The sequence below is a fragment of the Homo sapiens genome, chromosome 1 (assembly GCF_000001405.40).
Source record: "Homo sapiens chromosome 1, GRCh38.p14 Primary Assembly".
In the NCBI taxonomy this organism is placed as follows: domain Eukaryota; kingdom Metazoa; phylum Chordata; class Mammalia; order Primates; family Hominidae; genus Homo; species Homo sapiens.
The window spans coordinates 92706309-92720353 of record NC_000001.11 but is presented as its reverse complement, the minus strand read 5'-3'; the positions used below and the strand labels follow the sequence as shown (position 1 = coordinate 92720353).

The window sequence follows — 14045 nt, the reverse complement described above, 5'->3', positions numbered from 1 at the left end:
CTCTGTTCTGTTCTATTGGTCTATATCTCTGTTTTGATACCAGTACCATGCTGTTTTGGTTACTGTAGCCTTGTAGTGTAGTTTGAAGTCAGGTGGCATGATGCTTCCAGCTTTGTTCTTTTTGCTTAGGATTGTTTCGGCAATGTGGGCTCTTTTTTGGTTCCATATGAACTTTAAAGTAGTTTTTTCCAATTCTGTGAAGAAAGTCAATTGTAGCTTCATGGGGATAGCATTGAATCTATAAATTACTTTGGGCAGTATGGCCATTTTCACAGTATTGATTCTTCCTATTCATGAGCATGGAATGTTCTTCCATTTGTTTGTGTCCTCTTTTATTTTGTTGAGCAGTGGTTTGTAGTTCTCCTTGAAGAGGTCCTTCACATCCCTTGTAAATTGGATTCCTAGGTGTTTTATTCTATTTGTAGCAATTGTGAATGGGAGTTTGCTCATAATTTGGCTGTCTGTTATTGGTTTATAAGAATGCTTGTGATTTTTGCACATTGATTTTGTATGAAGTTGCTTATCAGCTTAAGGAGATTTTGGGCTGAGACAATGGGGTTTTACAAATATACAATCACGTCATCTGCAAACAGGAGCAATTTGACTTCCTCTTTTCCTAATTGAATATCCTTTATTTCTTTCTCTTGCCTGATTACCCTGGCGAGAACTTCCAACAGTATGTTGAATAGGAGTGGAGAGAGAGGGCATCCCTGTCTTGTGCCGGTTTTCAAAGGGAATGCTTCCAGTTTTTGCCCATTCAGTATGATATTGGCTGTGGGTTTGTCATAAATAGCTCTTATTATTTTGAGATATGTTCCATCAATACCTAGTTTATTGAGAGCTTTTAGCATGAAGGACTGTTGAATTTTGTCGAAGACCTTTTCTGCATCTATTGAGATAATCATGTGGTTTTTGTCGTTGGTTCTGTTTATGTGATGGATTACGTTTATTGATTTGTGTATGTTGAACCAGCCTTGCATCCCAGGGATGAAGGCCACTTTGTCATAGTGGATAAGCTTTTTGATGTGCTGCTGGATTCGGTTTGCCAGTATTTTATTGAGGATTTTCACATTGATGTTCATGAGGGATGTTGGTCTAAAATTCTCTTTTTTTCATCGTGTCTCTGCCAACCTTTGGTATCAGGATGATGCTGGCCTCAGAAAATGAGTTAGGGAGGATTCCCTCTTTTTCTATTGATTGGAATATTTTCAGAAGAAATGGTACCATCTCCTCTTTGTACCTCTGGTAGAATTCGGCTGTGAATCCATCTGGTCCTGAACTTTTTTTCGTTGGTAGGGTATTAATTATTGCCTCAATTTCAGAGCCTGTTATTGGTATATTCAGAGATTCGGCTTCTTCCTGGTTTAGCTTGGGAAGGTGTATGTGTCCAGGATTCATCCATTTCTTCTAGATTTTTCTTGTTTATTTGCACAGAGGTGTTTATTATATTCTCTGACGGTAGTTTGTATTTCTGTGGGATCGGTGGTGATATCCCTCTTATAATTTTTTTATTATGTCTATTTGATTCTTCTCTCTTTTCTTCTTTATTAATCTTGCTTGAGGTCTATCAATTTTGTTGATCTTTTCAAAAAACCAGCTCCTGGATTCACCGATTTTTTTTGAAGGGTTTTTTGTGTCTCTATCTCCTTCAGTTCTGCTCTGTTCTTAGTTATTTCTTGCCTTCTGCTAACTTTTGAATTTGTTTGCTCTTGCTTCTCTAGTTCTTTTAATTGTGATGTTATGGTGTCAATTTTAGATCTTTCCTGCTTTGTCTTGTGGGCATTTAGTGCTATAAATTTCCCTCTACACACTGCTTTAAATGTGTCCCAGAAATTCTGGTACATTGTGTCTTTGTTCTCATTGGTTTCAAAGAACATCTTTATTTCTGCCTTCATTTTGTTATTTACCCAGTCGTCATTCAGGAGCAGGTTGTTCAGTTTCCATATAATTGTGCGTTTTGAGTGAGTTTCTGAATCCTGAGTTCTAATTTGATTGCACTGTTGTCTGAGAGACCGTTTGTTGTGATTTCTGTTCTTTTATATTTGCTGAGGAGTGCTTTACTTCCAACTATGTGGTCAATTTTGGAATAAGTGCCATGTGGTGCTGAGAAGAATGTATATTCTGTTGATTTGCAGTGGAGAGTTCTGTAGATGTCTATTAGGTCTGCTTGCTCGAGAGCTGAGTTCAAGTCGTGGATATCCTTGTTAATGTTCTGTCTTGTTGATCTGTCTAATATTGACAGTGGGGTGTTAAAGTCTCCTGTTATTATTGTGTGGGAGTCTAAGTCTCTGTAGGTCTCTCAGGACTTGCTTTTTGAATCTGGGTGCTCCTGTATTGGGTGCATATATATTTAGGATAGTTAGCTCTTGTTGAATTGATCCCTTTACCATTATGTAGTGGCCTTCTTTGTCTCTTTTGATCTTTGTTGGTTTAAAATTTGTTTTATCAGAGACTAGGATTGCAACCCCTGGTTTTTTTTTTTGCTTTCCAATTGCTTGGTAGATCTTCCTCCATCCCTTTATTTTGAGCCTATGTGCGTCTTTGCACGTGAGATGGATCTTCTGAATACAGCACACTGATGGGTCTTGACTCTTTATCTAATTTGCCAGTCTGTGTCTTTTAATTGGAGCATTTAGCCCATTTACATTTAAGGTTAATATTGTTATGTGTGAATTTGATCCTGTCATTATGATGCTAGCTGGTTATTTTGCCCGTTAATTGATACAGTTTCTTCATAGTGTCGATGGTCTTTACAGTTTGTCATGTTTTTGCAGAGGCTGGTAACGGTTGTTCCTTTCCATGTTTAGTGCTTCCTTCAGGAGCTCTTGTAAGGCAGGCCTGGTGGTGACAAAATCTCTCAGCATTTGCTTGTCTGTAAAGGATTTTATTTCTCCTTCACTTCTGAAGCTTAGTTTGGCTGGATATGAAATTCTGTGTTGAAAATTCTTTTCTTTAAGAATGTTGAAGATTGGCCCCTACTCTCTTCTGGCTTGTAGAGTTTCTGCTGAGAGATCAGCTGTTAGTTTGATGGGCTTCCGTTTGTGGGTAACCCGACCTTTCTGTCTGCCCTTAACATTTTTTCCTTTATTTCAACCTTGGTGAATCTGACAATTATGTGTCTTGGGGTTGCTCTTCTTGAGGAGTATTTCATTAATTTGAACTTCAGTCACTGATATCCTTTCTTCCCCTTGATCAAATCAGCTATTGAAACTTGTGTATGCATCACGTAGTTCTCATGCCATGGTTTTCGGCTCCATCAAGTCATTTAAGGTCTTCTCTACACTGTTTATTCTAGTTAGCCATTCGTCTAATCTTTTTTCAAGGTTTTTAGCTGCCTTGTGATGGGTTCGAACATCCTCCTTTAGCTCGGAGAAGTTTGTTATTACTGACCTTCTGAAGCCTATTTCTGTCATCTCCTCAAAGTCATTCTCCATCCAGCTTTGTTCCGTTGCTGGCGAGGAGCTGCGATCCTTTGGAGGGGAAGAGGCGCTCTGGTTTTTAGAATCGAATTGGCTATTGAAGCTTGTGCATGCGTCATGTAGTTCTCATGCCATGGTTTTCAGCTCCATCAAGTCATTTAAGGTCTTCTCTACACTGTTTATTCTAGTTAGCCATTCGTCTAATCTTTTTTCAGGGTTTTTAGCTTCCTTGTGATGGGTTTGAACATCCTCCTTTAGCTTGGAGAAGTTTGTTATTACCGACCTTCTGAAGCCTATTTCTGTCAGCTCCTCAAAGTCATTCTCCATCCAGCTTTGTTCCGTTGCTGGCGAGGAGCTGCGATCCTTTGGAGGGAAAGAGGCGCTCTGGTTTTTAGAATTTTTAGCTTTTCTGCTCTGGTTTCTCCTCATCTTTGTGGTTTTATCTACCTTTGGTCTTTGATGTTGGTGACCTACACATGGGATTTTGGTGTGGATGTCCTTTTTGTTGATGTTGATGCTATTCCTTTCTGTTTGTTAGTTTTCCTTCTAACAGTCAGAACCCTCAGTTTCAGGTCTGTTGGAATTTGCCAGAGGTCCACTCCAGACCCTGTTTGCCTGGGTATCACCAGCAGAGGCTGCAGAACAGCAAATATTGCTGCCTGATCTTTCCTCTGGAAGCTCTGTCCCAGAGGGGCACCTGCCTGTATGAGGTGTCAGTCGGCCCCTACTGGGAGGTGTCTCCCAGTTAGGCTACATGGGGGTCAGGAACCCACTTGAGGAGGCAGTCTGTCTGTTCTTAGAGCTCAAACACCATGATGGGAGAACTACTGCTCTCTTCAGAGCTGTCAGACAGGAATATTTAAGTCTGTGGAAGTTTCTGCTGCCTTTTGTTCAGCTACACCTTGCCCCCCAGAGGTGGAGTTTATAGAGATAGCAAGCCTTGCAGCACTTTGGTGGGCTCCGACAAGTTTGAGCTTCCCGGCCGCTTTGTTTACCTACTCAAGCCTCAGCAATGGTGGATGTCCCTCCACCTGCCAGGCTGCTGCCTCGCAGGTCGATATCAGACTGCTGAGCTAGCAGTGAGCAAAGCTCTGTGGGTGTGGGACCCACCGAGCCAGGCGCGAGATATAATCTCCTGGTGTACCATTTGCTAAGACTGTTGGAAAAGCACAATATTTGAGCAGGAGTGTCCCGTTTTTCCAGGTACAGTCTGTCACTGCTTCCCTTGGTTAGGAAAGGGAAATCCCCCGAAGCCTTGTGCTTACTGGGTGAGGTGACGCCCCGCCCTGCTTTGGCTCGCCCTCTGTGGGCTGCACCCACTGTCCAACCAGTCTCAGTGAGATGAACCAGGTACCTCAGTTGGAAATGCAGAAATCACCCGTCTTCTGCGTCGATCACGCTGGGAGCTGCAGACCAGAGCTGTTCCTATTCAGCCATCTTGGAACACGCCTCCTTACTAGAGTTGTTGAAAGATGTTCAGAAAAGAGATTTTGACAAGAACTTGAAGAAATAAAAGGAGCAGAAGTTTAAGTCACTCTTTATTCTTGTGTGGAAGTACTAAAAAATTTGAACTTTTGGGTTCAAATTTTGAGTCGCGTGTGTGTATTTTTAAAAATCATTGAAACTGTCAGGGCACGGTGGCTTATGCCTGTAATCCCAGCACTTTGGGAGGCCGAGGCGGGTGGATCACCTGAGGTCAGGAGTTCGATACCAGCCCTGACCAATATGGTGAAACCCTGTCTCTACTAAAAATACAAAAAAATTAGCTGGACATGGTGGCAGGCACCTGTAGTCCCAGCTACTTGGAAGGCTGAGACAGGAGAATTGTTTGAACCTGGGAGGCGGAGGTTGCAGTGAGCCGAGATCGTGCCACTGCACTCCATCGTGGGTGACAGAGTGAGACTCCATCTCAAAAAAAAAGAAAAAAAAATCATTAAAACTCAGAATCCATGGGAAGGATTTATATGTAGAGAATGAGTCTTGTTTTGCCTTGGGAGAACAATCCTGGTGGAAAAACATCTCTCTGACTTTAGTTAAAAGTAAAGGTTAGGTGCAGTGGTTCATGCCTGTAATCCCAGGATTTTGGGAGTCCGAGGTGGGAGAATTGCATGAGGCCAAGAGTTCAAGACCAGCCTGGGCAACATTTGCAAGACCCCATCAGTACAGAAAATAAAAGAATTAGCTGGGTGTGATGGCATGTTCCTGTAGTCCTAGCTACCTAGGAGGCTGAGGCAGAAGTATTGCTGTAGCCCAGAAATTTAAGGTTGCAGTGAGCTCTGATCACATTACTATACTCCAGCCTGAGAGACAGAGCAAGACCCTCTCTTTGAAAAATAAGATTAAGTAAAGTAAAATGACAAACACTAAGCTTTAGTGCTCTTCTTCCTGTTCTGTCCTATCGCCCCACCAACTAGTAAGTCTGGGGAAAAATTGCAAGGATAATAATTTGAATTCTCTCTACTTCTGTGGTTTGTAATATAGATATGTAAGTTATATATCTAAAGTAAAAATTATGAGATACAACTTACACTTTGTAGCATAACAAAGTAGATGCTTTTATTTAGGATTTATTCTTCCCTTCCCCAAATGTAGATGATTCTCTGGTTGTGTTCACTCTCTTTGATTCAGAAAGTATAAAAATAACATTTTAGAAAATTAAAATTTAAGAAACATGAAAATATCAAATTCTATGAAGAAACTTTTTTCTTTTCATAGTTTTACTGCGGCTATTACTTTTTAAAAATAAGTGCATGTAGCAACCCCAGAAAGATGTGAAGAAATGGTTTAATGTAATGTCAAAGATCTATTTGATGAAAGTTAATAATTGATAGCTTTAAAGTTGAAATCGGATAGTTTTTTTTCCCCCTTGTGTGTTAAATGTGCTTTTCTTTTTTCATTTTAAAATCACAAAGGCTTTGGCAGAGATGAATTTATGGAGGTAAGTCTCAAGTATAATAGGATTGCATTTTAATTAAGGAGGGGAATGTTGCTAATTTAAATTTTGAGTGAGCCATTATTTGCGTGGTTTAAAACTTTGGCATTGCAGCCATATTTGTTCCGTTTTTATATTCTGTTATTTGGAATCATATTTTGCTTTTTAGCATATTTTGGGGGCTGAGATATGAGAATGAAGAAAAAGAAGTGGTTTATTGATTTATGAGACAGGGTCTTACTCTGTCGGCCAGGCTGGAGTGCAGTGGTGCAATCTCGGCTCACTGCAACCTCTGCCTCCTGGGTTCAAGTGATTCTCTGACCCCAGCCTCCCAAGTAGCTGGGATCACAGGCATGCACCACTGTGCCTGGCTAATTTTTGTAGTTTTTGGTAGAGATGGGGTTTCACCATGTTAGCCAGGCTGGTCTCAAACTCCTGACCTCAAGCGATTGGCCCGTTTCAGCCTCCCAAAGTGCTGGGATTATAGGTGTGAGCCACTGCGCCTGGCCAGAAAGGGTTCTTTTTAAACTAGCAAATGTATTTTATGATTTTTAAAAATATAGTCAACAGGAATCTTTGAAAACTTAATTTATGTATCTTTATATCCTACCAAAATCTAGATCTAGTATGGTCTAGTATGGTCGACCATATTGTCTACCATAAAATGAAAAAAGAAAAGGCAATACTAGACAATACTAGTATTGTGTAGTATGGTAGCCAGTAACCATATGTAGCAATTGAGTACCCAAAATCTGGCTGGTTTGACTTGTGATATGCTGTAAGAGTAAAATATGTACTAGATTTTAAAACTTGATTTGAAAAAGAGACTATCTTGGTAATTGAAAAAATTTTGTTTACCTGTTGAAGTGACATTTCAACTGTATTTGATAAAATAAATTATTAAAATTAATTTCAGGCTGGGCCTGGTGGCTCACTCCTCTAATGGTAGCACTTTGGGAGGCCTAGGTGGGAGGATTGCTTAAGCCCAGGAGTTTGAGACCAGCCTCTCAAGACCCCATCTCTATTTAAGATATATCTTAATATATATATCTTATATATATATTTTTCATCTTTTTTAAAAAGCTTTTAATTGTAGTGATTAGAACATTTAGCTTTGCATAAGTGGACTGCATTATATCTCTTTTGGACAGGCTGATCTAGATGACCTAATGTCCATCTTATATTTATAATTTTACCACCATAGCATTACCTCAGTTTTCCTGAGGATACTCTCCATAAAACATCCAGCAACACCAAGGAAGTGAAGAGCTTGCAAGCAAAATAGATATTTTCAAGTCTCTATTTAAAAATTCTTGTATTTTTAATCATAGGAAAGGTCTGTAGATCTTCATTTGAAGTCTTTGTTCTTATTATTTTCATTGAGGATTGTTTTAAATTTTTTTATCAGTTCTCTGATTTCCTAAAGAATTTGATGGTATAATTAATTAAACAATTTATTATATTACCTTTTCTGTGGCAACTAGCTTAGCCTAAGATAGTCTCTTGAAATTAAGAAATCTTAAGACTGAAGTCGGCTAGGCTTGTTTTTCTGGAATGTCTGTATAAAATAATCTCCATACTATTAGTTTCTGATCATAATATTTGGGAGGAGCCTATAAACCTTCTCCAAGCCCTGATCTTAAACACAGAAAAAAAAAAATTCTATTTTTCAGAACTAGAGAAATCCCTGTCATTTAGGTATCTTTCTTCTGTGTTGTCTCTGAGTTGTTTCCTGTCCTAATTCCTTGTGTCTTCTCTGAATTCTCTCATTGTTACAGTATTTCTATTGCTCTGAGACATGAATTTGTGCTTGGTGTTGTTGATGTGAAAGGATGTGATTCCTCTCTGGGTTAGGCATGTAGTTTTGCTATGGTCTTTTTGTTACCCTCTAAAATTCATGCGTTGAAAGCTAATCCCAAAGGTGATGGTATTAATATATTGGGCCTTTGGGAGTCTGTAATCCTCATAAATGGGATTAGTGTGGTTATAAGAGGCTTGAGGGAGTCCTTTGCCCCTTCCACCATGTGAGGGCCCGTAAAGGCCTCCATCTGTGAGGAATGGGTCCTTATCTTATGCCAAACTTGCTGGTGCCTTGATCTTGGGCTTCCCACCCTCCAAACTGTGAGCAATAAATTTCTGTTGTTTAAAAATTACCCAGTCCAAGATATTTTGTTATAGAAGCTCAAATGGACTAAAATAAGTTTTTTGTTAATCATTTTCCATTCTTTTACCTGGCAAGTTGCTGCACATTCATATCTTGTTTCTTTGGTGTTACATTACAAAGAGATGTTTGAACCTTGTGTTTGAAAAGTTGCCTCCTCCGTAATAAATCTCTCTGCCTTTTTTTTGAAACAGGGTCTTGCTCTGTCACGTAGGCTAGAGTGCAGTCGTGTGATCATGGCTCACTGAAGCCTTGACCTCCTGGGCTCAAGCAGTCCTTCTACTTCAGCCTTCCAAGTAGCTGGGACTACTGCACTTGTAAGTGCCAGTGTATTTAGCTTCCCAGGTGTTTGTATCATACAGCGTTTTTCTTCCTTAGATCCTTTCTTAGCTCCTTATAAATTATCTTAGCAGTTTATAAATTACCAACTGGCATGTTGACCAGTTGCTGTTGTATCCTGCTTTCTGAGTTCTGGTATCCATAGGAAAACATTATGCTGAGTACAATAGGATACTCAAGAAGTTTAATATCAACTGTTTTCAGATAATTACCAGATTTTTGTTTGTGGCGTTCACCTTGCTTATGAACTTCAGATTTGTCTTTTCAACTGCTGTGCTTATTGTCTACATGGATTTTCCCCCAAGTACTTCAAACTCCAAATACTCAAAAGAGAACTCATTCTTTTCCCTTTCCTCCCTTGTATTTTCAAATCATAGTATTATAGATAAGCCTTTTTGGGGGGCTGTTTATCATCTGCATGCTGCCATACACAAGCTATTCTTTTTTCTTATATGGCCATCGTGAAGTCTGTACTCTGTCATTTTCCTTACATAGGTGGCATCTCGATAAGAAGTTTTGATTCTCAGAAGCAAAGATACGGTGAAGGTCATCTGTCTAAGATAAGACCGAGGCTGTTCTCCATGCTGGAATATTTTCTTGTTCTCAACTTATTCCCCAGTCCCACCCATTAGGGAACTGGAAATGCTTTCTCCCTACAAAGTCTACCAAACTTCCAGAAGCAACCACTCCTAGACTCTCGATCTTTAATACTGTTTGGAGTCCAGTTGGTATATTGGCACCCCCCCCCCAACCCCAATCTCACTATTGTGTGGCTGTAGCCAGTTTCAGTGGCTGCCCTTGGATCAGGAGCTACTCTAAGAGAAACCTGTAGTGACCCAGTTAGGAGACAGGATTGTGTGTTCCCTTGTTGATAGAAAAACAATGTCTTATGTCCTAGTCTGTCATTCTGGGAGAATGAATGAATTTAGGCCTGTGAATTATTTACTGTATAAAAGTGGAATATTAGAAATGGCCAGGAGGCTACACAAACCTATAGGGACACCTTAGATTACAATGTACAATATTCCTGCTTGGACAGTATTCTTTTTCTTTAATCTGTGATAGTCAGAATTCTTGTGTTAGAAGGAGATTATGATGGGATGGGATGGGAAGTGAGGTGAATTATTCCCCCACCATCCCCCCTGCTTTTTTTTCGAGACAGGATCTCACTCTGTCACCCTGGCTAGAGTGCAGTGGTGCAGTGCAATCATGGCACACTGCAGTCTCAACTTCCGGGGCTCAGGCGATTCTTCCACCAAAGCCCCCCAGTAGCTGAGACTATAGGTGTGCACTACCACACCTGGCTAATTTTTTGTATTTTTAGTAGAGATGGGGTTTCTCCATGTTGCCCAGTTTGGTCTCAAATTCCTGGGCTCAAGCAATCCACCTGCCTCGGCCTCCCTTTTTTTTTTTTTTGCTTTGCAATAAATCCATGTAAGGCAGTGCACCCATGTGATCTGGGAGGAGGAAAATATGTGAAAAAGTTTTAGATATACTTCTCACTAGCCCACAGACCTATGAGTAATGCTGTATTACCATTTTCCCAGCTGCCAAGCTCAAGGCTTTGTAAATTGTTGACTTTCAGGCAGTGCGCCCCTCCCCCACCATGCCAGACTACCTTAATTATACTGAAACTAGGTGGAAACCTGTTTAAAAGCCTTCTTGAGTTGTTCCTCATCACGTTTAGCAATAAGGAATAAAAATGCTTGATTCTAACTACATAGTCTATAAAGTTTACATATTCTTGAACACGTAAATTATTTTTCTACATGCTATAGGAAAATACATGCTATAGTTCACTGGGGAGAGACTTCATGGTATCAATTCAAGTGTTACTACTTCTGCAAAATGTTCCGACTCTCTCACAGAGAAAGACTTCTTCATTATAAAAATTCTAAAGTTTTTCTTTAGAGAATTTTAAAATTTGCTGGAATGACCAGGAAATTTGAAAAGGCAAATATGAAGTCATGTTTATATCTTCCTTTATTTATAAAATATGCCCAAAATAATCTTTTACAAAAAGTAATAGTTACGGTTTTAAAAAGTTCAGAAGGGCTTACAATAATAAAATGCAGTCATTTCTCACCGAATTTTTACTATCCCTAGTGCCATTAAGTAGATAATATTTTTTACAAATATTGATGAAGTGATAAAAATTGATGAATAATATGCAGAGAAATGTGTAGTTCTTAAGTGTAAAGTTTGAATTTCAAAGAATGTATATACCTATGTATAACCCACATACCTATTAAGACTTAGAAAGTTTCTATCATATTAGAAAATGTCCATCATCTCAGAAAATTCCTTTGTGTCCTTTCTAGCAACCCCACCCTCTGTCAAAACTTCTCTTCTACCTGTTCTTTTTTGTATAATGGCTTTATTCAGATATTCATATACCATATATTTAATTCCCCCACTTAAAGTTTACAGTTCAGTTGTGTTTTGTCTACTCACAGAATTGTGCAATTGTCAACACAATCAATTTTAGAATTTTTTTCATCACTCCAAAAAGAAACTGCACACACATTAGCAGTCTATGTTTTCCTGACTACCTTCACTCCTACTACAACCCTCAGCAGCTGCTGATCTATTTTCTTTCTTCTAGATATTTCATATAAATGTATTCATGGAATATGTGCCCTTTTGTGACTGGCTTCATTAACTTAACATCATGTTTTCAAGGTTCATGGATGTCATAGTGTGTATCAGAATATAATTCCTTCTCGTGGCTGGTATTCCATTGTTTGGGTATACCATGTTTTTTTAATCCATTCATCAGTTGATGGACACTTGGATTTTTCTTTTTTTTGATATCATGAATAATGTTTCTGTGAATGCTTGTATATAAGTTTTTGATGGATATAAATTTTCATTTCTTTTGGATATATACCTAAGAGTGGAATTGCTGAGTCATGGTAATTTTGTGCTTATCATTTGAGGAACTGCCAGGCTGAAGTGCTTGTACCATTTTACATTCCCACAAGTAGTGTATGAGAGTTCCATTGTCTCCATATTCTCACAAACACTTAACTGTTTGTTATTTGTCATCTCGATTGTAACTATCTTAATGGTTGTAAAATATCTCATTGTGTTTTCAATTTGCTTTTTCCCTATGACTAGTGATGTTGAACATCTTCTTATGTATTTATTGGCCGTTTTCTTTGGAAAAATGTTTATTCAGATCTTTTGTCCATTTTTAAATCACGTTATTGTTGATTTGTAAGGGTTCTTTCTATATTCTAGATACAAGTCCCTTATGATTCGCAAGTATTTTCTCCCATTCTGTAGATTGTCTTTCCACTTTCTTGGTGGTAGCCAATAAAGTACAAAATGTTTTTAATTTTGATGAATTCCAGTGTATCTGTTTTTTCTTTTGTCACTTGTAGTTTTGGTCATAATTAAGGCTTTACCTAACTCAAAGTCATGAAGATTTATTCCTGTATTTTCTTCTATATTATGCTTGTTCTTGAACTTTATATAGATGGAATCATATCGTATGTACTCTTTTGCACCTGGCTTCTTTCGTTCTAACATCTATCAGATTCATCCATGTTGATGCACATGTCAGCAGTTTATTTCTTTTTATTGCTGAGTAGTATCACACTGAATGAATGTACCACAATTTGATCACTTATTTTTCTGAACATTTGGATTGTTTCTGGTTTGGGGCTATTGTGAATAAAGCTGCTATGAACTTTCAACTATGTCTTCTTTGTACATATGTTTTCATTTTACTGCTGGACCATATGGATATGTATTTCAACTGTATGAGGAATTATCAAACAGTTCTCAAATGTGTTATACTATTTTGTACTTTTAATATTGATAGAATTGCTTCCATCCTGGCCAACATTTGGTATGGTCAGTCTTTAGAATTGTAGCCATTCTAATATGTATATAGTTTGGTTTTAACTTGCATTTCCATTGATGACTAAAGATGCTAACATTTTTCAAGTACTTATTGACCATTTGATTATCTTGTTTAGAAAGTATCAGTTTACGTCTCTTACTCATTTTTTAAAGTGTGGTGTTTGGTTTCTTAGTTATTGACTTTAAGAGTGGTTCATATATTCTGTATACTATCTTTTGTCAGATACCTGTGTTTAGACTTTTTTTTTTCTTCTTACTCTCTGGTCTGGCTTGCCTTTTCATTTTTAAAATAGTATCTTTTGAGGAGCACAGCTCTTTAATTTCGGTGAAGTCCAGTTTTTAAATCAATTTTTTCTTTTGTAGTTACTGTTTCCTTATGTCCTGCAAACAAATTTTTGCCTACCCCAAAGGCTGTGAAGAGGTTTTCTTGTGTTTTTTTTTTTTTTTTTTTTTGAGACAGAGTTTCGCTCTTGTTGCCCAGGCTGGAGTGCAATGGCACGATCTCGGCTCACCGCAACCTCCGCCTCCCAGGTTCAAGCAATTCTCCTGCCTCAGCCTCCCTAGTAGCTGAGATTACAGGCATGTGCCACCATGCCCGGCTAATTTTATATTTTTAGTAGACAGGGTTTCTCCATGTTGGTCAGGCTGGTCTCGAACTCCCAACCTCAGGTCATCCGCCCGCCTCGGCCTCCCAAAGTGCTGGGATTACAGGCATGAGCCACCACGCCCGGCCATGGTTTTCCTGTATTTTGTTTTTAGGAGTTTTATAGTTTTGTTATATTTAGGCTTATCTATTTTAAACCATTTTATAAGATAAAGCAGGGACAGTATCTTTAAATAGTGTAATGTCTTGAGATATTTTATTTGTAAACGTTCCTCACAGCTTTGTATAATTGGATGTGCTATTTCAATGTTCTCGGAAGGTTAACTGCTTAATCTTCTCTAACCCACGAATGCCACGAATTCACTTGATATTTGTGCCTATCCTAGAAGTTGTATTAATAACTCAGCAATCCAAGACTTTTTGACTCTCTAAAAGCCTTCTGTTTAGGTGCTTCTTCATCTATACTTGGATTACACCTCGAACTTAGGTTTAACTTAGGAAAACCATTATTTTCTTTGAACTGCATATCTCTGTTGATAGTGATGCAATTTAATTGAGATGTAGCAAGCAGTCAGTAAATAAGTATGGCAAATAACTAGGATTCAGGTTATTTCAGTAAAATTTGTTTCTTTATTGCATTTACAATTCTTAGGGTTTAGAATCATGTGGAAAATTACCTATGTAAACTAATTTTTCCATAAGATATATTACGGACTTACT

The 14045-nt window shown here is 38.4% G+C and overlaps 1 protein-coding gene across 27 annotated transcripts in view; it reads left to right on the top strand.

Moving 5' to 3' along the window:
- The window catches only part of EVI5 (ecotropic viral integration site 5), a 283715-nt gene that overhangs the window by 72057 nt on the left and 197613 nt on the right, over positions 1 to 14045 (top strand). For 2 of the 27 annotated variants that reach the window (XM_024449690.2, XM_017002279.2), the window contains exon 1: positions 6267 to 6357. The exons of the other annotated variants lie outside the window; for them this stretch is intronic. In XM_024449690.2, coding sequence (XP_024305458.1) covers positions 6344 to 6357 — 14 coding nt within the window. In that variant the 5' untranslated portion in view covers positions 6267 to 6343. Of the gene's footprint in view, positions 1 to 6266; positions 6358 to 14045 lie in introns of those variants that run through there. 27 annotated transcript variants of the gene reach the window in all.